The 27,866-nt window shown below is 36.1% G+C and overlaps 1 protein-coding gene across 4 annotated transcripts in view; it reads right to left on the reverse strand.

The window, feature by feature from the left end:
• Positions 1-27,866, reverse strand: part of MAN1A1 (mannosidase alpha class 1A member 1) — a 173,401-nt gene that overhangs the window by 99,561 nt on the left and 45,974 nt on the right. For all 4 annotated transcript variants that reach the window (XM_005266986.5, NM_005907.4, XM_011535833.3 and 1 more), the window contains 2 exons: positions 25,223-25,338; positions 13,918-13,998 (listed from right to left, as the gene is read on the reverse strand). In XM_005266986.5, coding sequence (XP_005267043.1) covers positions 13,918-13,998; positions 25,223-25,338 — 197 coding nt within the window. The remainder of the gene's footprint in view (positions 1-13,917; positions 13,999-25,222; positions 25,339-27,866) is intronic.

Consider the following 27,866-nt stretch of genomic DNA (forward strand, 5'->3'; position numbering starts at 1 on the left):
GCAACTGTGGGTATTGTTTTGTCAATAACTAAAAATAACATAAAATATGATTACACAAGTAAATGCATCAACCTAAATGGTATTTATAAAACTAAGATGACAATCTCTTCTGCTTATCTTTTCTAACCCTAGCCTTCTACCTAATGTCAAGAATGAAAAACAAAAGTGTTTAGAATAAAGAGCCACGAAAAAAATTCTTCTGTTCTATGCCTATCCTATTAAAGCTCTGGAATTTCCTTGTTTTTGAAGGACCTTAGAATCTCTATTTGTACTACTTCAGAGGAATCGGATACTTCAAATTATTATAAAATAAATATCAATTGTTAAGTTAAAAACAAACATTGCCCTCAAGGCTTATGTTTATTTTATTATCAATTTAAATGAATTTTCAGCTAAATTACAAGACTGGAGCTGTTTGCTTTCAAATGCAAACAAATTGTGGCATACTCAGATATATGACCTCTCTTGGGAAAACATTTCATCATGTAGCAGAAGTGACTTCGTTATTATTATTAAAATGGTTAACCCTATGATCTGTCAGTGAACTATTTTCTAAAATGTTTTAAAGAAAAAAACTTAAAAAAATACATAAACCATAAATCTACATCATAAAGTGATATCACAAGAAAGTCTGGCAAATGAAATCTTTAGAGGACTTCCTTTAGAAGGCACCTAATTCCCAGACCATAAAAATTTTTAACAAAAACAAATTTTTTTATGAATCAAATGATAGTTTCATACATTAGGTAAGACTTAATTTATAGAATAAATCCAGGCCAGGGGCAGTGGCTCACATCTATAGTCCTAGCACTTTGGGAGGTAGAGGCAGGAGGGTAACTTTAGGTCAGGAGTTCAAGACCAGTGTGGGCAAAATGGTGAGGCCTTATCTCTACAAAAAAATAAAAAGTAGCCTGTAATCCCGGCACTTTGGGAGGCCGAGGTGGGTGAATCACGAGGTCAGGAGATGGAGACCATCCTGGTTAACACGGGGAAAACCCGTCTCTACTAAAAAATACAACAAATTAGCCGGGCGTGGTGGCGGGCGCCTGTAGTCCCAGCTACTCGGGAGGCTGAGGCGGGAGAATGGCATGAACCTGGGAGGCGGAGCTTGCAGTGAGCCGAGACTGCACAACTGCACTCCAGCCTGGGCGACAGAGCAAGACTCCATCTCAAAAAAAAAAAAAAAAAAAAAAGTAAAAATAAATAAATAAATAAATAAATAAAAAAAAAGTAATTAGCCAGGCATGGTGGTGTGCATATATAGTCCCAGCTATTCAGAGAGCTGAGGCAGGATTCCTTGAGCCCAGGAGTTCAAGGATGCAGTGAACTATGATCGTGCCACTGTGCTCCAGCCTGAGTGACAGAGAGACCCTCAATTCTGAAAAAACAAAACAAAACAAAAACCAATGACAAAAATCCAAAACAAATTCACAGCACCACAATCAAACTGTCTACATTTATCTATGCAGATAAAATTCCAGTATATTTTAGAAGAAACAGCTCTGTACAGGTATAGATGCATTAAAATCCAGCTAATTAGCTGATATTCATTTTGTTTACATTTCTACTGCCAACTCTAATTATCTGACTTACTTCTTAAGGCTCTAGAGTCATAATGTTTGTTCAACAATCACATATTTAAACTTCATTCTGCATGAATATTTCCCTCTGCTTTTTGTTTAAGCAGCAACCTTTACTCAGTACATATTTTAGTATGGATTTATGAATTTTATAGAAAGTGTTTATATTTTAGCAGTATTAAAGATCACTTCACCGGTACTTAGTTTTTTTTTAAACAGCAATTTTTACATCTTATTATTTTTAAAATTGAAATATGTTGCATCGTCAGTGATAATAGATATCTGTCCCCTCAAAATCTCATCTTGAAATGTGCCCCCCCCAGTGTTGGAAGGTGGGGCCTAGTAGGAGGTGTTTGGATCATGGGGGTGGATCCCTCATGAATGGCTTGGTGGCGTTCCCTTGGTGATGAATGAGTTCTTGCTCTGCAAGTTCACATGAGATCTGGTTGTTTAGAGTATGGCACCTCCCTTCTCTCTCTTGGTCCCTTCTCTGACCATGTCACATGCCTGCTCCCCCACTGCCTTCTGCCATGAGTGGAAAGCTTCCTGAGGCTTCATGAGAAGCCAAGCAGATGCTGGAGCCTTGCTTATACAGACTGCAGAACCGTGAGCCAAATAAATCTCTCTTCTTTATAAATTACCCAGCCTCAGTATTCTTTTATAGCAATACAAAATGGACTAACACAGCCATGCAGATAGACTCTGGCAAAATCCCCCCTCAACCATTCAATCTCATGTTATCCTAGATTATGACATCACTTAAAACTGCTCCATTAAAAAAAACTCTTTTAATTCATACATCCCACCATATAGCCTTAACTTTAAAAGCTTCCAATAACCTATTAAATTATGGCTACTACTCCTACGCTACTTCAGCTAAACCTCAAGCAATTCAATCAGTCCATTTTCTCTCTAACCACTACTCACCTGCCTTTTTCCTACTGCCTTATATTCATCTTGGACTGCATGGTCTATACATTCAATAAATTCTGCCAATACTTTAAAATCCATGCCTTTCTCTCTGTGTTACCTGGCTACCAAACCTTAACTAAAACCAACTAACTGCCTTCTCCATGCTTGTACCTAAAGTGCCGAACACTGTTGGAAAAAGCATCATACGTTTATAAGGATTGAGGCTACCATAAATTCATGGCTACCAGCCTAGACACTGTCCAGAACCTCTACCATGTTTCTGTACTCAACCCTTTAGAATGACAATTTTAAAATGTACACGTTCACATCAAACATCTCTCCTCTTCCCCTGAGTCTCAGCAGAAATCCTTGTCTTGTATTTAACAGGATCCACCAGAGAATAACTATCTCATTTATTTGCCACCAAGTCTAATAAGTTACCTACTTGTATTCCTACCTTCTCCTCCGCTTTCTCATATTGCAAAGGATGCCTCCCCAAAGGCCATCTGTCTTCGTGAATGCCACCTTCCCCTAACTGCTTAAAGACCTTGAACTAATCTTTATTTCCTTACCACCTTCTCTTCTTCAATCAAAAACAATTTGGATTCTATCCTATTACTCTACTGAAGTACCCTCCATAAAGTCATCCATGACCTCCATGTTGTAAGATGCTAAAGAGAGTCCATATACAACTTCTAGCAGCAGCACTTGACAGAACTGAACATCTGTTTTCAAAATAGTATTTTCTCTTGGACTCTGTGATGTCACATTCTACTAGTTTCCCTCCTACTTCCCAGACCACGACTTCTGAGTCTCCTTTTCTAGCTCTTTCTTCTCAACAACACTTAAATATTAAGGCCTATTTTCTCAGTGTATAATGCCCTGGACAATCTTACTCCTGTCCATTCTTTCAATTATCATTTAGTTGTTGATGACTCATGGGTTCAGGCCTATCAATATCTTATCTTCTGTGCTTGAGATCTCTAATGTCTAGCTGCTACTCAGTAGCTGGGAGCCAGAATGCCCAAGTTTGAAGCCTAGCTCTGCTACTTTGCATGTCCTTGGGCAAATAACACTCTGTGCCTCTGTTTCTTCCTCCATAAAATGAGAATAAAAACAGTTCCTACTCCTACTTTATAGGGTTGTTGTGAAATTAATATTTGAATTAACATTTGTCAATGGGGACTGTGTTTCTCTTATTCACTGTTGTTTCTGCGGCACCAACTGCAGTGCCTCAAAGCAGGTATTCAATAAGCATCTGCTGATTCACTTAATGAATGAAATTACCAGATGGTATATTATCACAATTCTGAGGCATTTTCTGCTAGCCCTATTAAATTTTAAATTTCTTGCTACAGCTATCTTATATACCCTTCTAAAGGAGATCACAATTTGAAAGAAAAATAATTTGCAAGAACATTCCTGAAAAAAATAACTTTTGTTGAAAAACATTCACTCACAGGCAAAAATCTGTGTTAGAAATCCATGTCAATATGACTCAGGCAATAAAAATGATTTGAAGTATTGGTTTCAACAGTCATTATGAATTATAAAGTGATTCAATATAAATCAAAATAGAACATATTACCTCATCTCTTTCATTAGGCTTTTGAAAAATGAGAAGTGACTGACCTAGTGAGCACTGAAATCAAAGAAAAAGTGGTGGAAGGAAAAGCACCAGGTCTTTAACATCCAGGCAACACGGCAGGCCGCTGCCAAACAGCAACTGGCTCCCACCACAGACAACAGCAGTGGTGGTATAGAGGGCAGTATATGTCTGTCTGTCAACTTTACTGTTTCAAATCTGGAAGGCCGGGGAGAAGCCTACAGAGTAGAAGGTATTTTCAGGAGAGGGGAAACTTTGTAAACAAGTGCTTTTTACTTGAAAATTTAGTGAAGATGTGTGTTAGTGAAGATTCATATCCCAAGTCACACTCGTCACCCTACTTTGGTGCCACTTTATTGAAGGGTTTTTCCAGTGAGACTGGCTGGCTCCAGTTTGGGGACTCTTGACAAAGTTATCTTCTCAGTAATTCTTATCTTCTGCTACTCTGGGCAGTTAAGAGGGCTACACAGTCTAACCCAAGTCAGTGGTCGCTGTGGTGGTCATGAATGCTGTTCATCACCACCTCTTCACCCCTTTAAGTTGTAGTGGCCCTATGACTTGCTCTGGCCAATGACATGTAAGCTGAAGTAACATGGGTCTTTCAGACAAGTGCATTAAAAGCCAGTGTGGGATTTGCCAGAATCTCTTTTGCCACCACTCCCTCTTCCCCATGACAACTAGAAATGACCTAGATGGCAGCTGCCCCAGCAGGTTGGACTCTGAAGGAAGGATGATGAGAAGCAGAGTCAAGGTAGAACATGCTGTCTTAATCCACTGAGATTTCAGGCTGTTGCTGAATGATAACACAGGTCTATTTCTCACTGATGTGAATTTGTAGTTTGCTGCTATGTGTAGGGAACTATGCTAAACTAAAAGGGATAAAAATATTTCGTTAAAAAACAACTGAATTTGGCCAGGTGCGGTGGCTCATACCTCTAATCCCAGCACTTTGAGAGGCCAAGGTGGGTGGATCATGAGGTCAAGAGATAAGAGACCAGCCTGGCCAACATGGTGAAACCCCATCTCTACTAAAAATACAAAAAAAAAAATTAGCCGGGCATGGTGGCGGGAGTCTGTAATCCCAGCTACTCGGGAGGCTGAGGCAGGAGAATTGCCTGAACCTGAGAGGAGGAGTATGCAGTGAAGTGAGCCAAGATCGCACCACTGCACTCCAGCCTGGGCGGCAGAGCAAGACTCCGTCTCAGAAAACAAACAAAACAAAACAAAACAAAACAACTGAATTTTCTGACTTTCCCTTTCCGTTAGGTTTCAAGCACTCACTTGGCAATGAGATCAAGGGCTAGGCCAGCTTCTACCATTTACACATTAAGTATAAATAAGTTTCAGGGCTGGGATTACTAGTGAAATGTAGAAATGTGCTCATGAATTGTGGAGATAAAATTTTTACAGCTTATAAAACTATGCTTTCAAAAACAATTATCAGTACAAGATAGGGCTTATGCAGAGGGACAAACAGAACAGATCTGAGTTAAGGGGTAGGTATGATTTCTGTAATTCACTCTAGGACAAGAAAAAGCAGTAATTTCTTTTGACTAAAGTATGTGTTGTTTTTGAATCAACTCTGTACACTCCTATATTCCTTTTAAAGTACAAATTAAATTTACCAATCATAATGGAATAGTCAATGTGTAACAGCTATAACTCATTAACCATGGAAATTTAATTATAAACATAATAAGCAAAATTACAATTCTCTGTTTTACTGAATTAAACTTTTAAATGAAAATATTAGCTATTCAGTATTTTACATTCCTTTCTTATAAAAATTTCAATAATGCCAAATAGTAAATTAACATTTAAAATATATGTAAGGCTAAATCTAAACCTCTAAGAAATCAAAGGGCCAAACATATTAATATACAACAATTACATAATTATATAATTACATTAATATAACAATCAGTATCACCTGATAAATATAATTAAAATTGTTCCTTTCTAGGAAATTGGCATAAATGTGTCATTAAGTTTTAGTTAGTTTCCTCAAATTAAGGACCATATATGTACCTTGTAGAATCACTTTCACATTTACTTCTTATAATTTCTTCTTAGGTTTATAATTTCAGAATGCTCTATGTTAAATCTATTTTAAAGGTCTACAATAAATGACCTACTGTATTTAGTAATGATATAATCTACAAATAGTCTCCAGCTGATTTTCAAAACTTTCTTTTTCAGAGAATCAGGATGTACAGAACAGATAAAAAGGATGATGTTTTGCTAGCTGGGGTGGGGGTTGAAGGTGGAGCCACAGAGGCTATTTGTGGTTAGAGATCATGCATATTGTCCATCACCTTACTACATTACATTTTCTCCTTCTCATCTCCTACCCCAAGCCTTCCAGGCTAGTTGCTTATTTATATTATCCATGTACAGATTTTACTTTAAAAGTCACTGGAAGAATTTTCTGTTGCAGTTTTAAAAAGTAAAGGTCTCAGAAAACCTGTTGAAGAGTTTTAGTCAATGACTAAATGACTAAACATTTACTAAATGTTTTCTAGTGCCAGGCATACAGTGTTAAGCATGAGGATATGAAAACAGCAGAAACGTCATTTTTGAGTTGTACAAATCCTACTGGGGAAAAGGGAGTGAGTAGGTGAGAGGGCTCACAGAGCCATAAACAATGAACTATAATAATATCGTATGCAGAGAATGCAGAAAAGGAAGTGAAGGTGGGGAGGGGGTGTCTTAGTGTTGTGCAGCCAGGGAAGGCCTCGGAGGGGCTGTATCTATCTTGGTGGGTGGAAGGAGCAGGGTGAAAGACATTCTAGGTAGAAGGAATGCAGATTTAAGAAGCACACAGATGGGCTTGGTGCGTTTTTTGGAAGAAAAAGGGTCTGTTATACAGTGGAAGGTCCATGAGGACTGTTATGAAGGAAACCAGAAAAGGTAGGCTGAGGCTGAATTACAAAGGCTTTGTAGGCCAAATCAAAACGACTCAACTTTTAAGGCCACATGGACCAGTGGTGGTTTGCAAGAAGACTGTGTGGAGTGATGACAACTTTCCTTAGTGCCACAGTGGGGAAGAGACTGAAGAGGGGAGACGCTGGCAGTACGAAGGTCAGTTGGATGAACATTACTGTCGGTTTTCTCCCTGTGTACTGGCCTGTCATTCCAATAACAAAACCGACCAACCAGAACATCAACTTTTTTTCTTACAGGTCTCATCAAGTTTTCCAGTTTTGGTTTATGAGCTACATTTAATCACTAAAATGTAAGCTCCACAAGGCCAGGGATTGGGGGCTATTTTATCTCAGGCATATCTCGAGGCCATGAGCAGTGTCTGACATATAGTTGGCACTCATCCAATATCTGCTGAAGGGATACTTGATTTCTTCCAAATAGTGATTGTGATCTGGAGCACATCTCTCACGGTTTTTTCCCAATCACCGCCCAATCTGATAAGCACCATTTCCATGTGCCACTCTGTACAGGTGAGGACACTATATAAAAACATGCCTAGAAGGGTCTTCCTGCTGAGGGGGCCACTCAAACTCACGGTCATCAAAACTTTCTGTCTCTTAATAAGTGAAAAACATGGTTCTTACTGCTCTCAAGGTCTTTCCCAGAAGACTGTCTCAATAAGGACGCTGTTGAGAAGGGGCAGAGAAAGCTTTATCAGCTTTTCTTTCATTTTGCAATCTATTTATATTCTTATTTTTGTTACGTCTTTTTGTTTTTTTTCCCCTAAATTACTGAAATATAGACTTAACCACATATTTATTTTTTCTTAATGCAGACCTTTGGAATTATGTATTTTTTTAAGTATAACTCTGGCTGCTTTCCAACAAATTTAATGTGATGCTTATACTGTAGTTGTTAAGTTGTCTAATATTGTATACTCATTCCTTGATCTAGTTATTTGAGAGATTTTTAAATTTTCAAGTAGTTTTACCATTTTAAATATGTGTACATTTCTAATGTTATATTTTGATTGGAGGTATGATGTACATATTTTCCTAAAATTTTCATTGTCTACAGCATATGAAAAATATTGTAAAGAATTTAATTACTATATTAGTCTGTTTTGTGTCGCTATAAAGGAATACCTGAGGCTGGGTAATTTATAAAGAAAAGAGGTTTATTTTGGCTCATGGTTCTGCAGATGATAGAAGCAGCATAATACCAGCATCTGCTTCTGGTGGGGCCCTCAGGAAACTTACAATCATGGCAGAAGGTGAAGAGGGAGCAGGTGTCACACATGGCCAGAGGGGGAGCAGGAGAGACAGGGGAAGGGAAAGGAGGTAGCAGACTTTTTTTTTTTTTTTTAAAGTAGAGACAGAATCTGGCTTTTATTGCCTGGACTTGTCTCAAATTCCTGAGGCTCAAGTGATCCCCCTCCCTCAGTCTCCCCAAGTGTTGGGATTACAGGCATGAGCCACCATGTCCGGCCAGATTCTTTTTAACAACCAGACCTTGCTGTAACTAATAGAGTGAGAACTCACTCATTACCCTGGAGGAAGGCACCAAGCCATTCATAAGGGATCTGGCCCCATGACCCAAACATCTCTCATGAGACCCCATCTTTAACATTGGGGATCACATTTCAATATGAGATTTGGAGGGGACACACATCCGAACTATATCGATTACCTGATTTTTAATTTCACTGTATCACTATTTCAATTCTTCCTTTTAACTATATTGCATAGCTGTTATTTCTTCACTGTATGGGATTAACATATATTTTTATTTTAAGGTATTGTGATCACTGTTTTCAATTCTTTTTTTTTTTTTCCAATTAGGCCTTTTGTTGATATCTCTACTTTCTGGATTTAAATCTACCTAATTAGAGATCATAATTAAAGTTCTTTCCATATATAAGAAAGCAGGATAAATGTGAGCTCAATTTTTATAATTTAGTATTTAGGCAGGATTTGGGAGGGTGCTAATGTATTTCTGGTGGATCCAAATGTATTGTTGGATTTTTCTTGTTTATACCACATATTTCTACCTTTTATGGAAAATTCAATATAAGCAATATATGTGGGTTATTTTATGGTATCAAATTTTTTGTATTCATAAAAATAGCAAAACCAGATTGCTGTTAATGCTCTTCCATTCTTTGCTCTGGTCACTAGGAAACCGGAAGATACATTTCCATCCAAAGCCCAGATGATTTACAAACTGGCAGAATACACTGCTATGTGCTAACCTTATCTGAAACTTTAATATGCCCTAACTTTATTCTCTGTTTTTCCACAGCTCTGTTTGAATCATACACATTTTCTGGCACTCTGATTTTTTTGCAGAATCAGGCAGGAGACAGATGGGTAGTCTGGGAGATGACTCACTTTCTAATGAATTGTGGCAGACATTGAGTTTGAAAGGTAACCAGTCATATATCCTAATTTTCTAGAGAATTTCTAAACATTTTTACGATTATCCATAACTAAACAAACTCTAAAAAATCAATTTCTAACCCCCAAATACTCCGAATGTCTTAACCCTATTATGAAAAAACAACTACATCTTCCCACCAGTTAACTGACATTCTTAATCTTCTCTCTCTCCTCCCTACTCCACAATCCTACTCCCCTCTGTGTTTCCTCCTTGTTAGTCTTAAAATTTGGCAGTATTATATTTATTGAGTAAATCTCTTTCAGCAGTATTTCATACTGGTGTTTGCAGCAGTGGATAACTTTTAGGGGGAATCTGAAGAAAAATCCTTTTGCTGCCTTCAAAATGAGAGGTTATCATAGTAAACTCATCTACTGTAAAAATCCATTCTGTGTCTTTTACCAGTCTTGGATAAGATGTCTTCCGCATCTTTTTTCTTTGAAAGCTAGTTCTTAATCATTTTGGCTTCCAGGAGTTGGCTACTGTTTTTCTATTTTACAAAGTTAAAATGTACTGGCAGAATATTTTCTTTGAGGATTAAAAACTCTGGTCTATTCTAAATGTCGTCTCTTAGCTTACAAAATATTTTTGCAAATCAGATTACATTTTTTCAGGTATCTTATTCAACTGTCAGTTTCCATGTGGTTTGTCTATTTTCTCTGCCATATTTATATTCACCATAGTGGGCGAAATCTTATTGTTGGCTCCTACACGTCCTATCTCCCTACTCTTCTCACAGGGCCTCGATTTCCTGTTCAGGAATTATCTATACTTCCTTATACTACTCAGTCTTCACGGGATATGAATCCAAACTTTGAGGAAGACTTCTAGCATATCCTTTTTCATTCTCCAAGATCCCCAAAGAGGCTGCATGTAACTGAAACTCTGACAATTAGCCTCTTTCTTCAGGGACTTTGTGTCTTGAGTAGAGTAACAGAAGGGTGGAAGAAATAGTCCATGTTACTAATTGCAGGGTGTCCCAAGGTGATAGTACAGCTATAGAGATCCCCTATGCCAACTTGACACTTTTTGTTCCAAGTTGCTCTTCAGCCCTCTCTCTGATTCTGTAACATTTCTATGTCCTATTACATTCACTTTCTGCTCAATATAGCTATTGGTTTCTGTTGTAAAACAAATAATGTTACATGGTATAGTCACATAAATTCTTTTCTACATGTGTCATCTTCTCTTGCAATGTCATATTTTACACGTTTTGCACTTGTCAATTTCAATATCATCTTTGCTTTACTCTTATTCTGTAGTAGTATTTCCAAAATTTGTTCTGAAAAATAATTCTAATTTACTGTTAACAGATGTCACTTTTTTTTTTAATAGAGGAAGGCTATTGTTAAGTAAGTGTGGAAAATGCAAGGATAAATAAAAGTTAATTCACTTCTTTTTTTGTGCATTCTGAATTTCCAAGAAAGAATACAGGATGTAGCTCTTCCCAAACTTATTTTTAGTATGTATACAGATACAGATTTATCCTGCCATATCAAAAGAAACTAGTGGTCTTTAGAACATATTTTGGGTAATCATATTCTAGATGCTGCTATATTTACTATCTCCAGTGAGAATTTTAGCTCCCTTCCAGCTTATAATAGAGCAGTGCTACCTTTTAAATTTATTTTTAATACTGATTCTTCCTATTTAATATTCATCTTATCCCCATCCTATCTGTTTGTAATTCTTGTGGTTGAGCTTCTTATATAGCATTTGAAAATACTGATGCTTGACTTTTTTATGGTGCTACAAAATATTTTAACTGAGCTACGAGGTTTCAAATTTTTGAATATGTGCCTGTAATCAAAGTTTACTACAGGTACTTCATGTTTCTATTATTTTTTTGGTAGCTTAGACTTCTGCTGGGATTCTTAACTATTGTCCAGTGTTTCTAACTGTAACTTTCCTGAAACACATATCACAAATCAGTAGTACTTCTTCTCCTGCTTTTGCATACAAATTTAACAATCTTGAGCTGATATCAATGTGGGGTCTATCTACTTCTGATGGTGATTTGTTCTTAAAATACTCCTGAGCCTCAGTGATGAAATCAGAATGTTAAATTATGGTGGTTTAAAAGTCCCTCTATGAGATACATAGAAAGACAAATTGTCCTAGACACCTTAGTAAATTGTCTGATCTATGTAAAAAGTGTGTGGTATAAAACTTTATCAACTATTTAAAACCAACTTATTCATAATTTGCTATGTTGGTGTTCTATTAAATGAATGCTCATTTAAAAAAATTTTGATATGAATACAAATAGCTCAAGAACAGACCTGGGGTAAAAAATTTTCCGGATCACATTCCTAATGGCCAATTCCCCTGAATGCATTCATCAAATGAAAATCAATTGTCAGGGTCTAAGTAACTGGGAGAAATAGGCAAGTGATGATGTTAAAACAATCCAGTATTAATCACTTCTCACTTGCCAACACCACTTCAGAGAATAAATATTCATTGATTATAGCAATATTATTCAAAATAAAAAGATACTGAAAATAATCTAACTGTTCAACATTCTGGAAACTATAAGAAAAAACATGCTAAGAATATGGGTCCCTATAACTAAAGCACTCTACAGATAGAAAAATAAAAGAAAAAATCTTAAATTTTTATCATAAAATTTAAAATACAGAAAACCTACATGTAATAAAAACATGTTTGTGTAGTGATAATGGCAAAACAGACTGAAAGAATAGTTATTTGCAATGGAAGTGTTCTTTGTAGCCATTTGTTTACTAAAGTTCACTATACAGAATTAAAAAATATCCTTACAAAGTCTTAGGCAAATTATTTTATCTATAGGCAAACTATAATATCTGTGGGTATTATAATTATATATATATATATACATATCAAGTATACACATATATAGAAACACATATATGTATGTAAACTTAAAACACTGAGTGAAAACGTATCCTAATCAAACATGATGTATATTTAGAATAGATACATATGTGTTTTTCTTTGTATGCTTTATTATCCTAATTGAGCCCAGACACAAAAGGATGCAATCCTTATTTCCTCCAAATTGTCTCACCTCCACATAGATTATGGAAAAAGTTAAAACCAAGGTCATCTTAGCATATCATGTCCAAAGCAATGAGAACATCCTGGCATTGGATACTCAAAGACAAGTATTCTAAAAGCAGAAACCTGTTAACTAAAATAACATTAGTTAATTTTAAACATAACTTTTTAAAAATATAGGGTTTTAGGGTTTTTTGGTTTTGGCTTAATCCTTAGTATACCCTAAACTGAACTGAACACATGAAGTTATCTGGTAGTGGAAAAACAGAAAAAAGGGAGGAAGAGGCATAACAGACCAGGGGATCACATTACCCTGGCTGAGAAGGTAACAGAGTTCACAATGAACAACATTTAACACTAAAACAGGAGAGATATAGATGAATACAGAAGTCATCTATATACTTTGAAAAGATCTAAGGTAGAATAAAATCTAAACAGAGAGGAAATGTAAGATTGTGAAGGTTGTATGTTTTGGTTAAGAAAGTACTTGAGAGACAGGAACAAAGTCAAGCAGCTTTTCTCATTAAACATTTATTGCTGTGCTTAAATCTGTTTGAAGGAGCATAGCAATACATGAAATACTGGTTTGGGTAAGATCTACTCTTTCCCCAGCCGGAATGCTGAGGCTAACTCAAATCTGACTGACGTGCAACTGAAATATGTGACAGTTTTTCCATAATGTCAACATTTAACACTGTCAACATTAAAGATGAGGCCCATTCCAACAACCCTTAGTGGACACTCAAACGATATTCATAAAGTTGTCCAAAACCTTTCAAGAAAATAGCATCAGTGACCTTTATGAGGATGATACAAAAATCCTTTCTTAATCTATCAATAAAAGGCAGCTAAATTTAAAATTCCTGCTTTGCTCCAAGCAGTGGATAATTAATGAAGCCTTGACTCAGGAAGAGCTCCAAAGCACTTGATACAGGGATGCTGGCCTTTAGGACTGTTTACTTGGTAGCTAAGTGTCTCACCCCCTTAATTACATAAAAACTACAATTTTTATATCTTACTTGCCAGGCTTTATTCATTTAAAAAAGTTTTTATTTGTATTAACATTAAAATAATTCTCAAAGAAAAAAATTCATCCACAAGCCCGCCACTACACTAAACTTCTTTAATTTGTCCATAGGCACATATAATTTGTAGCTATAATCACACCATACATAACATAATAGAGCCAGTTTCTAAAGGCATTACTTAACATTCCCTGACAATATGTTCTGCCAAACTTTCCCAGCTTGCTCATTTCATTAGTACATATTGTAAGAAACTCAGTGTAAGCTACAGCTTCATTGAAATATAAAAATTCCATAGATTCCTTCTAAATATATGTCACGAATGGCATATTTTACCAAAAATGTAGTTTAAGACACTTTATAATTCACATTTATATACCACTTTTCATCTTACCTCTTCTCCAGACAGATAGTAGGCTGAGAGTAGTCCACCAACAAAGCGTATATTTACTTCAAAGACAGAAATTTCAGCATTCTATGGAAAAAAAAAATTCAAACATGATGATAGTACACAATTCAGAAAACCATTATTGTGATAAATTATACTAAATACTTAAATTTTGTTCAAATCTTATGCTTGCCCAGAGAAGTTTATATACAGGGGGAAATGTTCTCCCTTTTAAAATTAAGGTATTAAATATCACTGTGCATTATACGTATCGAAACATCACTAACGGACCCCCAAAATACGTACAATCATTATATGACAATTTTTAAAAATAAAGGAAAAAACATACTTAAAATAAATGATACGGTTTGTCTCTGTGTCCCCACCCAAATCTCATCTTGTAGCTCACATAATTCACACATGTTGTGGGATGGACCCGGTGGGAGATAACTGAATCATGGGGAGGGGTCTTTCCTGTGCTGTTCTTGTGATAGTGAATAAGTCTCACAAGATCTGATGGTTTTAAAAAGGGAGTTTCCCTGCACAAGCTCTTTCTCTCTTTGCCTGTTGCCATCCATGTAAGTTATGACTTGCTCCTAGCCTTCCGCCATGATTGTGAGGCCTCCCCAGCCATGTGAAACTGTTAAATCCATTAAACCTCTTTTTCTTCCCAGTCTCAGGTATGTCTTTATCAGCAGTGTGAAAACGGACTAATGCAAGAGATAAAAATAATTTTGACTCCTAAACAAAATTACAAAAATATTTGTCAAATAAAGTTCTTTCCTCTCTCTTCAACAGCAGATACAATATTTGATATTCTCTATTTGTGTAAACATAATGGGGCCAGGGCATTTTTTTTTTCTGCTCTGCATTCTCCTTTATTTTATTCATTTGTCTGCTTTTTCTTCCTGAAAGGCTATTCAGCCTATACTTAGGCTGGTACTTCAACATTAGTCTAGGAATCTTTTCATCATGATGCACAACTGGACTGCAAATAGGATTTGAAGTCTGAGGACCTGGGTTCTAGTGCTGGTTTCCAACTTTTTGCCTTTGGCTTGGGATTGTTCTTCTCATCTCTGAGAAGATATTTCATCTTCGCATAAAGGACATGATAATAATCATGTATGTTATACCATGCTGAAATAGCCCTTATTTACACCAATAATAGCTTGCTTTTATTATTTACAACGTGCCAGGTCCTGTGCTAATGTCTTTATATAGACTCTTTTAGTCCTCACAATGACCTTATGAATTAATTACTATTCTTATATCCATTTTAAAATGTTGAAGCTGAGACTTATAGTGGTTAATGTGACTTTTTGAAGTTCAGACAACTAATAATTGGTAGAAGCAGGATTTGAACTTGAGTACTGTGGCTCCTGATTCAGGGCTCTGCTATTCTGACTTCTATATACCTCACAGGATAATGCACCAAGTCTCTTTATTCATGGTCATATAATTAGTAATTACTGCTAATATTTTATACTTGATTAGTAAATAGATCTGTCTTACATTCTGTTACTAGGTAAGTTAGAATAGCTAACCTACTATTTAGATTATAAAGCACATTTCAAGCTTTAGTTAGCTTCTTTTCATGTTCATTGGGCCTACTGCACTTTTGCCTAACATCAAACCATTCACTAATAATCATGGGACTCACAGCAATTTATAATATATGGAGTCAATATCTGGCAAATAAACTTAGTCAAAATCATGGGATATTATTTCCTTTAACAAGCATTTATTAAGCAACTACTATGTGCCAGACCCTGTCCTAGGTGATAGGGAAATGGCAATAAGGACTGATAAGGTCCTCAAGCTCACTTGAGTCTACATTTTAGTGGGATAAAATATTTCCAGAAAAAAAAGGAGGTATGTATTAATTTTATCCTTACATGCTCTCTGTAAAAAGGTTTAAGAATCTAACAATTAAAGTCAAGTAATTGCTTAAGTTAAAAAAATTCAAAAAAATTCCTATAAAAGGACAATTATGAAAACAAGTTAGGAGACAGAATTACTAAGTCAAAGTTAGGCAAAAACATCACAAAATAAGACTGGTGTGTTTAACTGTATTTTATAATTTGTAATGTGCACCTGATATAATCTGATTAAAAGTACTATATATAGGTGTAATTTAACTTTGAGGTCTATCACTCTGAATGAATTTTACATAAATATTGGCAAAGGCTTTAATATTCTACAAAATTACTGATAAGGAAAAGCGAAGCTAACCCATGTATTTAGTTTGGTTCACGTGACTACGTTTCCTATGTTTAAGAGTAATAATATCTAATAATAAAATCTAATAAACTTAAACCCTCAAATCATATTCCTCTCAATTAGTACTTGTGTTTTTCAGTTTTTAAACCTGGTAACAGTTTCCCACATTTCTGCCTATTGAAGACTGTTAAGATGATCTTATATTCTTATTCTGGCTATAGGTTCTTGACATAATGCATTTTCTCTTCCTGCCGTGAAAATTTTGGATAATCAAGACCTTTATGTAGACATCCGATAAAAATTATTCCAAGGTGAAGGTCTGAGTCATGTCAAACACTGCCAGAAATATATCTTCAGCTAGACATCAATCAACTGTTGGATGCAGTTATTCAACCAGTTATTGATCCAATTACATATTCTAAAACCTAAATTCTATTTATCTTGTACTGTACGATATTGAGAAATGACCCTGCAAGGTGCCATACTCAAGGTCACTTGCTATGGCTTTGGATTTCATGGATCTAATAGTCTGTCCAGTGAGCCTGTTTAAGAAGCAAATCTGGTTTGTTAGTTAATCCATGAAGGATACCAGTGACTGCTATGTCCTTGTCTTTAATAAATCTTGCTCTGGAACATCACACCACCACCATCACTAGTTCTCAAGTCACCATCTTCTCTGTTTGAAAACCAGAACCACATTCGAATTTCCAACATATAATTCTTTCTCTCTCCTTTTCAAAGTTAAGTTTAAATAATTTAGAAACCTTAATTTGAGGTCTCTTTCAGTATTCTAGGTTGTATTATGTTTTTAGGCCAAAAGATTGAAATTTAGACCCTTTAGTTAACTCTTTATAGATTCGTAGATGAAAAGGACTAAGAAGATAAAAATTCTCCCACCACACCAAATTGGTTGGCTATCCTGCAGAAATCAGAAAGACCTGGGATTGAAGGCTGATTTGGAAGCCATCTGAGTTTGAGGTCCCAGATAACTAATTTATTCTGAGTCTTGGTTTTGTCATACGTAGAAAGGGACAATGAATTCCTCCATGATGTAAAGCAATGTACACAATAGCTGGTAACGCACTCATCAGACACTCAATAGACAGCTGTTGCCACTACCACTGTGCAGCTCAGCCTAAACGAACTAAAACCTACCTTCCCAGGGTCACTGGAAAATCAGAAACTTTAGAATCATAAATACTCATCTTCTTTGGCCCATATGAGGTCTTATTTCTCAAGGGCTTAAAAATCCTCTTTTGAAATATAGAAGTTGACCAACTTCCTTTGGGGCTTGATATATTTTGTATGAAATCTGGATTTTCAAAAGTGAATTTCTACAAATGAGGGTCTCAGGCCATTTTTATAAACTTCTGATTCTAATTTCCATTAAATAATAAATTTAAATGAATACATTCTTATTAATAGTCATAATGTTCTAAAAGTTTTCTACCGACTTACCCTAATGACAGAGGGGGTATTTGCAGCAGGGGGAAGACAGTAGGCAGACAAAGCAGCCTGTAACACTAAATCTTGTGAGATTTATCCTAACAATTAATGTGAATTTTGCAGTCTACCTATCTGAGTTTGTTTTAAAATAAAAGTAACTTCCCTTTTAAATCTTTAGGATTGCATTCCAGTATGCCCCATGTATTCAGTGGCTTCTAGTACACAGTCTTACATCAGTGGCAGTTTAAGAAGTACATCCCGTCTTTTATTTAAATTCCATGTACCTATTAGTTAATGTCAACTGATAAGCAAGAGGAGATTGGAAGTTTTTGGTTAAGACCAACCAATAAAAAAATCAGAATTGGAGAAATTGTTCTTTCATTTTGATTTACTTATAGCAATGACCACTTAATCAAAGAACACACTGAACCAGATTCATCTAAATTGAATTCATATAAATTGAATAAAATACATGGTATGCCTAAATTTACACCTAAAATCAAGAGATGAGTATTACAAATCATGAAAAAATTATGCCTCAGTACTAATCTCTATTATTGTCTTGGGTGTTTGAGATTGATAACTTCCACCTTAGATCTATCCCTTTTCCATATGTTTTTGTCTACTCATTTACTATACATGTATGTAAATTTACGAGATAAAGTGACAAAGACTGCTAACATGAAAAAGAGAGTCTAATATATAAATTATTTTGTATGCTTCCCTCCTTCAATCCTAACATCATGCTCCATCTCTCTGCAAAGAAAGGCTTTTTCTAAACCAACATACCATGAGATCATGGACAGGAAGTATCTAACCCCATCTAGGCAACAGAGAAAATGAACACGTCAAAATCTGTTTCCAAATGAGTACCTGAAAGACCAACCTCTTCACACTAGACAAGACAGCACTTTAAACAACTCTGAAATTTGATATTTTTATAGGCAACTTATTCACCAAAATTAGCTATACGATGACGTATTTTAATAGATTTCACTAAGTGAAATAACAGGCTTGACAATGAAAATAACAAATTTTAGTTTTGGAGCAGATTCAGCCAGTTTCCTTTTGCTTGAGGAGCTATATCGAGATGCAAGCTCGAGGAACAGATAATAAATTGTTTCTTTGGATCTTCAAGCCTTATGATGTTTATTTAGAGTCACACTTATATTAGAATTCTCCTTATTATCTTATGATTCCATACAGCATGACAGATCTGATTGATTGCATTAAATGGAAAAATATTTCTTGGAAAAGAACTTATCAGACATATTTAAATTCTATTCTGAGTGTTTGATTTTCAGAGTGAACTAAAAGTGTAATAGTTTTTGTTTTTAAAAGGACAATTCTCCGATCTCTACAATCAGAGACTACTCTTTTGCTAGCTATTCCTCCAAACTCTGTATCAGCTTTCTACTTAGTGAATTATGAGCCTGGGGTACGGGACTATTATCATACATGAGAATCAAGCAAGCTTTAATAACTGCCCACTACATACCAATGCAATATTTCTGTTTAATATTAACTGTTTCACCAAAATCCAATGTAAATAACAACTGCTCCATTACTAACACATGATAACGATACTTTAATCAATGGCTTTGTTAGAAGCAACATGAGACTTTTCAAAACCATTGATTAAAGACTGGTAACTACCAATAAGCCTTGCCTATGTTTAGGCTTAGCATACACCTTTATTTATAAATGATACTTCAAAGTGTGTGCTGGATTAACACTTTGAGGATTAAAAGTATACAACTCCTTTAAACGATTAAATTGCAATATTTCACAGTGTAAGTCAGTCTGTCACAGTGTGTCCTGGCAGCCTTTGGTTTCCTATTTAAGCAACGTGACAAATCTCTTAAGACTGCTAACAAAGTCCAAGTTCTGTGGGCCACAAAGATATGCAAATACCTCTCTTCTCTATGTTAATAGACTGGTTTTACCATGCAGGTCCAGAGGCTCTCAAGCAGCAGTCCTAATTACCATCAGAGAGAACAGCACAGTATCCTCTGAAAACCAAAACCCAAATCATCACTCTTGGTAGGTATTCCCTAGCATTCAGATGGAACACACTCAATAACTTCATTTAACAGGATAATTAACTTAGTTATCTGCGCCCATCAGGATGTAATGTGGCTCTAAAACAGACCTTTCTCAGGAGCAACACTAAGGCAAAAGTAACTTCTTTCATACTCTATGGCATGGAACTCTGGACCTAAGCCAGTACTCAGTCATGCATTTGAGAAGATCCAAAGTTGCTTCTTGAAGTCAACATATATCCTCCTGACAGGGAACCCTACAACTTACTTTCTTGAAAAGTAGGAGGGCATTCCAACTGGGTATGCAAACAATCTGGATCTTAACATTAAAGAAAAAAAAAAAGTCACTGTTGCCACCAGAACTTCTGTTCTCCAAAACACAAAGTGTTCATTACAACTAAAGGCATGATCCAGATGCTTGCCAAAGATCACAATTACAGGGTGTTGCTAGTTAGTGTCCACAGCAGGCTGATCATCTATCCTTTGCCATTCTCAAGGCTCTGCCTCTCATACTGAGATATCGCTTTACTGCAGTCCAGAAATACAGCTTTAAGGAAAATTTTAACACAGCTTTAGCTTTTACAGAGGGTTAATATAAGAAATTGTTATCTGGAGAAAAATTCTACATATTCCATAAAATTCATTACAGAAGATAGTTTTCAATATTTCTCATGTGAGGTTCTAGGTAACCAATAATGTTTTAAGTGCCAGTAAAAGAACACAATTGAAATTAGAAATGCCCAAATAGGAAACCCTTGATCATTTGTTCTTATGCAACTGATCTTCCTGTTATCAGGGGCCACTACAAATCTGTTCTGGAAATAGGTTAGGTAATAACAGGTAGACCAAGTGACTTGAACTCCAGATCATCTGTAACTATATAAACAGATGACACAATACAGCTACCCTTGCACCTGAGCTTTTCTTCCAGCTGAGTATAGCACAGACTGTCAGGAAGTAGGATAAGATGGCTTAACTTCTCATTCATTTAACAAATATTTATCAAATCACTATTGAACAATAAACTCTAATTAGTAATCTAATATTAAGATGACATGCCTAACCTCAGAGGACTCAAATTCTCTGACTGCGTATATATTTCTCAACTCTTTGCATTTCTTCTCCAATTAAAAAAACACAAGGTCATTGAGTTAGGCAGACTGTGTTCAAACCAGAGATCTTGCTGCATAATTTGGGACAGCCTAATTAACCACCTATTCATCTATAAATATAGGGAAAAATACCAGTTACTACTCTGTATGCTTGTCACAAAGATTAAACACGATACACCCATGAAAAAAATCACCTATCATAATACTTGGTATGTATCACATATTACTAAATAGTTTCCTTTTTTTTTTTTTTTTTTTTTTGAGATGGAGTCTCGCTCTGTCGCCCAGGCTGGAGTTTTTTTGTTTTGTTTTGTTTTTTAAATAGAGATGGCGGCGGTGGGGAGGGTTTTACTCTGTTGCCCAGGCTGCTCTTGAACTTCTGGGTTCAAGAAATCCACCAGCCTGGGCCTCCCAAAGTGTTGGGATTACAGGTGTGAGCCACCACGCCTGGCCAAATAGTAGTTGACCTCTTTTCATTTCTTCCCTCCTGAGATAGCCTGGCTTAGCTAGGGTTCTCTGACTACTTTTCCTGCTAGACTAAATGCTCCATAAGGGTAAATGCCTGATCCTTAGAAGATACTTAGTAAATAACACATGAGTGAATGAAGAGTGACTAACCAAGAATCAGTTTTAGATCCTTTGTCCTAAGATTACTTTGAGTTAAAATTAGAAAATGCATTCATGGAGTCAATACTTAGGGTTTTCTGCTAATATCTATGTGCCTCTACAGATACTTGAACTGAATACAAGCTCCTTCTGTGAAGTCCTTGTTCCTTACTCCCCAGAACATATTATCCCAACTTATTTTAAGCCAGATATTAAAGTCATTTGAACTTTGTGCTACCAAGTATGCAAAATGAATCGACTTCCTATGCCCTAATGAAAAGGAAATGAGTTTTAGTTAATTACAGTATAAACCAATACAAAACATTTATTTTATACTTTTCAGTGATATAAATTGGATATTTCACATTAACAAATTTATTCTTGAGTGTAAAATTTGTTTATACTTAGGAGCACCATAGGATAAACAAACTCTCAACAATAATGTTTGTTTCATTTTTATTTTCCCTTTGCAATAAATTTAGATGCATTAACTTTTCTTTTTTTTTTTTTTTGAGTCTGAGTCTCACTCTGTTGCCCAAGCTGGAGTGCAGTGGTGCAATCTCAGCTCACTGCAACCCCTGCCTCCCAGGTTCAAGCTATTCTCCTGCCTCAGCCCCCCAAGTAGCTGGGACTACAGGCGTGTGCCACCATGCCTGGGAAATTTTTTGTATTTTCAGTAGAGACGGGGTTTCGCCATGTTAGCCAGGATGGTCTTAATCTCCTGACCTCATGATCCACCCGCCTCGGCCTCCCAAAATGCTGGGATTACAGGAGTGAGCCACTGCGCCTGGCCAACTTTTTAAATAATACCCTTACACTGTCAATTAGAATACCTTATCAGGAAAAAGTGTTAACTAAAATATAAGTAATAATATTTATAAGCTAGAATGATACTACATGTTATTTAGTATAATTTTTCTTTTTTTTTTGCTAAGGCTTTTTCAATTTCTCCTTTCTTCATATAAATGAGAAAAATTTCTCAATGTTTTTTGAAGAAAAATCCTGTAATTTTAAAAATAATCATTTGGATTTCTGGATAGAATGGGTGAATATAAGACAAATTCTAATGTGACATATTAAAACCAACTAGAATACAGTAAGCTGGAAAACTTCACAATGTAATGATTAGAAAAGTAAGTCAATATACCTCTCCAGAATTTGTATGTTACTATTTTTAATATGGGAAACATTATTGTTTGGATATTGTTGACAACATATTTTTTAAAAGGAAAACATGGTAATACCCAAAGAGACCTGCAACAAATATTTTTCAAGACCTCTTATATTAAGAAAATAGTATAATAAAGACATTTGAGAAATATGGCTGTAATTTTTTGAAATATGTATATTTAATTTTTATGAATACATAACAGTTGTATATATTTTAAAATTATATCTTGAAAGGTATAACCCAAAACTATCATTAACAGGCCTAAAATATATATGCAAAAGTCTGCATACTAATTGAGTAAAATTTTATTAAAAACTAAAATAAAAATTTAAATAAAGAAAACTTCAAAGTTCAGTATCTTAGCAATAACTCAATGTTAGTCTAATCCTTTCACCTTACAAGTAAGGAAGCCCAGTAAATTCTTCTCTTCTACATAGTCTGATATCCCCTACTAAATTCATCTTTCCTTCTCCCAAGTCTCCAGGACCCATGGAACACATTCAAGGCATCCTGTGGTGGTCTGAGGACAGCCAACTGCCTTCTGTTACAGTAACATCTTGTCTGTTACCTTTGCACTTAGTCATTTTAAATAAAACTGCTCCTCATCCTCCACCAACCCCAACCTCTGGCCCCAAGTCCAGAGCTCCTCAGACTACCACAGGTTGCACAGGTCGTGAAAAGAAAAAAACCGCTATTATATTTGAGGAGGTTTGGGGCAACAATGCTACAATTACCAGATGGACCAACCCAAGATTCAGTAAGAAACTTGGACACTATTCATAAGTCAAGTGTTACTAAAGTATGCTTTCCAGTTTTCCATCATTAGTGTTTCAGAGGAATTTAGTTATTATTCCCCTACCCTTTCTTGAAAAGACAGATATCAGTCGGTTTCATACATAGCTAAAGAAAAGCCTGCAGGTTTTTGAAGGTAGGAGCTGATTTTAATAAGAAGGTAGAACTGAAGTTTTTTTGTTTTGTTTTGTTTTTGTTTTTTTTTTTTGAGACGGCGTCTTGCTCTACTGCCCAGGCTGGAGTGCAGTGGTGCAATCACGGCTCACTGCAACATCCGCCTCCTGGGTTCAAGCGATCCTCCTGCCTCAGCCTCCTGAGTAGCTGGGATTACAGGCACACACCACCATGCCTGGCTATTTTTTGTATTTTTAGTAGAGACGGGGTTTCACCATGTTGGCCAGGCTGGTCTCAAACTCCTGACATCGTGATCCAACTGCCTCGACCTCCCAAAGTGCTGGGATTACAGGTGTGAGCCACCACGCCCGGTCCACAGAAGTATTATTAAGAAAGCAAGCCTCCAAAATGAAACCGTTTTTTTCCAGTGCTTTAATTTTTCATATTTAGCTCTATCAATATCAGCACTACCACAGGTCATTCTAATCAAATAGCTCCATAACCTTGAGCAAATCACTAGCTCCTTATGCCTGCTCTCTCATGTTTAAAATAGAAGGGTTTAACACATTGATCCCCAAGGTCCCTTAATATTGATCGGAATATTCTCTCCTTTATATTCTAGATTCAATTATTAGGCAAATTAAACACAGACTCATCTGCCTGTCTTTTAGGTCTCCCAAATGCGGTATATATAGCAATTAATTAGGGGAGTAGAAACAAAATATTAAACTTTTAATTTATATAAGTTTTTAATTGAAATAGATGGGGGAAAGACTTAGCTTTACTGATCCTTAATATTCTACCTAACACTGGTGTCCTCATTTGGTCTCTGAGAGAACAAGAGTGCCACAAAGCAGAGGCAACAGCAGGGAAATTCTCTTTGTCCACTTTCAACACACAGCATGTTACTTGTGCGTGGTGACTGGGATTTACAGAAACTATCAAATGCTTACCCGAAAGACAAGAGACTTTACGAGAATTTCTGCAAAGTAGTCTCAGATTAGAAATAATACTGATAACACACACTGAAGTGAACGACTAAAAACTTCCATGGCCTACATGCTTTCTTCTCTTAGTATAAGTTCTTTGTCAATATCATTATAAAGTAAAACAATGACTATCAAATTAGAGCTGATAAGACGTAGTCCTCCCCAGTCAAAATTATCAAGAAGTATTAGAAGTATTCACTATCCTTAATTCTGATTCTTTCCCTCAGTATACAATGGGCCATGAAATATTTGCTAAGAATGATAGCATACAGAATTTAAAAAATATATCACATATATAATCAATTTATTTTTACTGAGAGATGAATAAGATCCACAAAATTTGAATCTTTCTTTACGGGAAAATGAATGCTGCTGCTACTGCTGGATACACCATGACACAGTGTAAAAGCATAAGCACTGGAGCCCCATGGACCTACATCAGAATCACAGCTCTTGACACACAACCAGCTGTGCAATCTGGAGTAAGCCTCTGAGGTTAAGATGTTTAATATACAAAGGTGTGAAATTAATGCCCATCTCATAGAGTTGCAGTGGGACTGAACAAGAATACTAGGCACATGTAGGTCTCAATAAATACTAACTTCTTTTCTCTTACTCTTCATTTGCCAAAAAACAAAGACACACATTTGTGTAGTGAGGACAATTTAAGAATATAGTATAAGATAATAGTATTTGTACTACCTAAAGTTGCAATATTTTTGTTAGGGTACATTATAATACAATAATAGGGCCCACTACAGAATTTATCCATGTTAACTGAAATTTAAGGACTGAATTAGAAATTCTTATTTAACTTACCACATTAAAATCTAAATTTTCTTCAACCCATGATTTTGCTTCTTCAAATTCATGTTTCATTTCCATAATAAAAAGTGTATCCAGGGCATCTACTATAGTTGCTCCTTTGATGTTACCTGAAAAGATCAGAAAAATATTTGATAAAATACTTTGCCTAGATAAAATATATGTAAATTGACCATAACTAAGAAAGGGAGAGGGTAATGCTGGATTTATTAATAAGCAATAATATTAAACATAGTCTAAAATTCTTTCAATGAAAGTATAAAACAGCACCAAACTAAAAATTATCACGGGCTATCGACTGATATACTAATCTTTAAAGTTTCTTCTGAGTTATAAAAATAAATGTCTCAGAAACTTCTCTTAGAAATTTCATTAGTGATTGCATTCTCTCTCTTTTTTTTTTTTTGAGATGGAGTCTCATTCTGTTGCCCAGGCTGGAGTGCAGTGGCGCGATCTCAGCAAATTGCAACCTCCACCTCCCGGGTTCAAGTGATTCTCCTACCTTAGCCTCCTGAGTAGCTGGGACTATAGGCGCATGCCACCACGCCTGGCTAATTTTTGTGTTTTTAGTAGAGACGGGGTTTCACCATGTTGGCCAGAATGGTCTCAATCTCTCGACCTCATAATCCACCCACCTAGGCCTCCCAAAGTGCTGAGATTACAGGTGTGAGCCACCATACCCGGCCTGTGATTGCATTCTCTAGCAAGAAAAGAATAGGCCTAAAACCAAGGAGCAACAGACTTTTTAAGACTGATGTAATTACATCAAAGTGCACCTGTGCAAAACTTTAAATATAATTAGATCTAAAATTGTTTAGTGATAGTTCTAAGAAGACATTACTCTAAAATGAAATTTCACCCCCGTATGAATTCTGACTGATGCTAACTACCCTCCATCCCCTACAAGTCCTGACCTCTGTGGTTTATTTCCTCTGAATTCCAATGACATGGAGACTTCCTGTTGCCCTGGCATTCAACACCTTCTATCTTGTATTAAAATTACACGTGTGCATCTTTTAGTCTATAAACTTTTTTTTTCTTTTGAGACAGGGTCTTGCTCTGTCCCCCAGGGTGGAGTACAGTGGTGCAATCATAGCTCACTGCAGCCCCAAACTCCTAGGCACAAGTGATTCTCCTGCCTCAGCTTCCTGTGTAGCTGGGATTATACGTGTGTGCCACCATGCCTGGCTAATTTTAAAATTTTTTTTGTACAGATGAGTCTTGCTATGTGGCTCAGGCTGGTCTCAAACTCCTGGCCTCAAGCAATCCTCCCACTTTGGCCTTCCAGAGTACTAGAATTAGAGTCATGAGGCATGCACTTAGCCTATAAACTTAGAACAAACAAGTCATGTCTTATCTCCAGATTCCTTATGGTGTCCTGTGGAATTGTGACAATGATGCCCAATTGTAATTGAGTAGTTTAGCTTCAAAACGCAGTTTAAAATGTTTTTCTTTGTCCTTTCTTCCAGTCTCAAGATGTAACCTTGAAACAAACTGTAGAAACCTTTTTCCTTAGTCTTAAAATATCCCCTTGAAACATGCTTTGAAACTTCACTCCCCTTTCCCACTATGCACTCCTTCACCCCATGAACATTTACGTAACTGTATACTTGGATCTAATATGTGCTTACTAAGAAGTTCCAGGGGCTAATCTTGTGACAGATCAAGCATGGAGACCCAGCTGCAAAACTTCAGAGACTACCTCAAGGCAGTTAGTCAGCAACCCAGCTATTGTTGATATGTCAGCCGCACTCCAGGTAGACTACAGCTAGATACAGCCACCAGAACAAGACATGCAGATCTTATACTCAGGCACCCTTCCCATATGCCTCCCAGTCCAAGTCCCATTTTTAAGACCCTCTTCCCAGCCTCAAGTCTGAAGCAGTTTCTAGAGGAGTAAGCCTGCCACTCCTAGCTTTGGAAATAAAAGTCATTTTCCTTTCACTGAACTTCATCCTTGTTATTGGCTGTGCAAGTGGCAGGCAGCCGATCCTGCACTCAGGAGCACAATGAATTGCTGCTGAAAGACTGGGCACTACACTTCCTATATGTAATTAGCACTCTGGACGATCCAAGACCAAATCTATAAATATAAGTGAAAATTATTTCACTGGCACATGCCTTTCAAATGCCAAGTTAAGAAGTTATCATTAGGAAACTATAAATAATAGAATATTAAAACACTTGATTTTCAAAAAAGATAAAAGTTGTAAATCTTATCTAATAATAATGAGAAAGAAACCTGAAGACCCTTGCATTTTGTGAAATGTTTTACTGTAATCCAATTTCCTTTAAATTTTTTGAAGCTAGAACTATGGATTCAGAGAGACACTGGAGGGAATATTTTAAAGTGGGCATTTTGAAATATATCAGCTTCATATTTTCATTGACATTTCATTTCTAAGTTATTAAGAGCCTTAAGTTAATATTTGTATTTCTTGTATTTTAGCTTTAAATGAGTATAATTGGTCAAGCACAAAATACCTCTCTTTGAGGTACAGTTTAACTTGAAATCTTTTGTACCACTGAAATCTTGAAATAAATAGTTCTAGTTTCCTGCTTAAGATGGAATTGGGAGATCATGAATACTTAAGATTTTTTTTATATTCATTAAAGTTGTTTAGGAAGGAACCAGTCT

Source organism: Homo sapiens, chromosome 6 (genome assembly GCF_000001405.40).
Source record: "Homo sapiens chromosome 6, GRCh38.p14 Primary Assembly".
Lineage (NCBI taxonomy): Eukaryota > Metazoa > Chordata > Mammalia > Primates > Hominidae > Homo > Homo sapiens.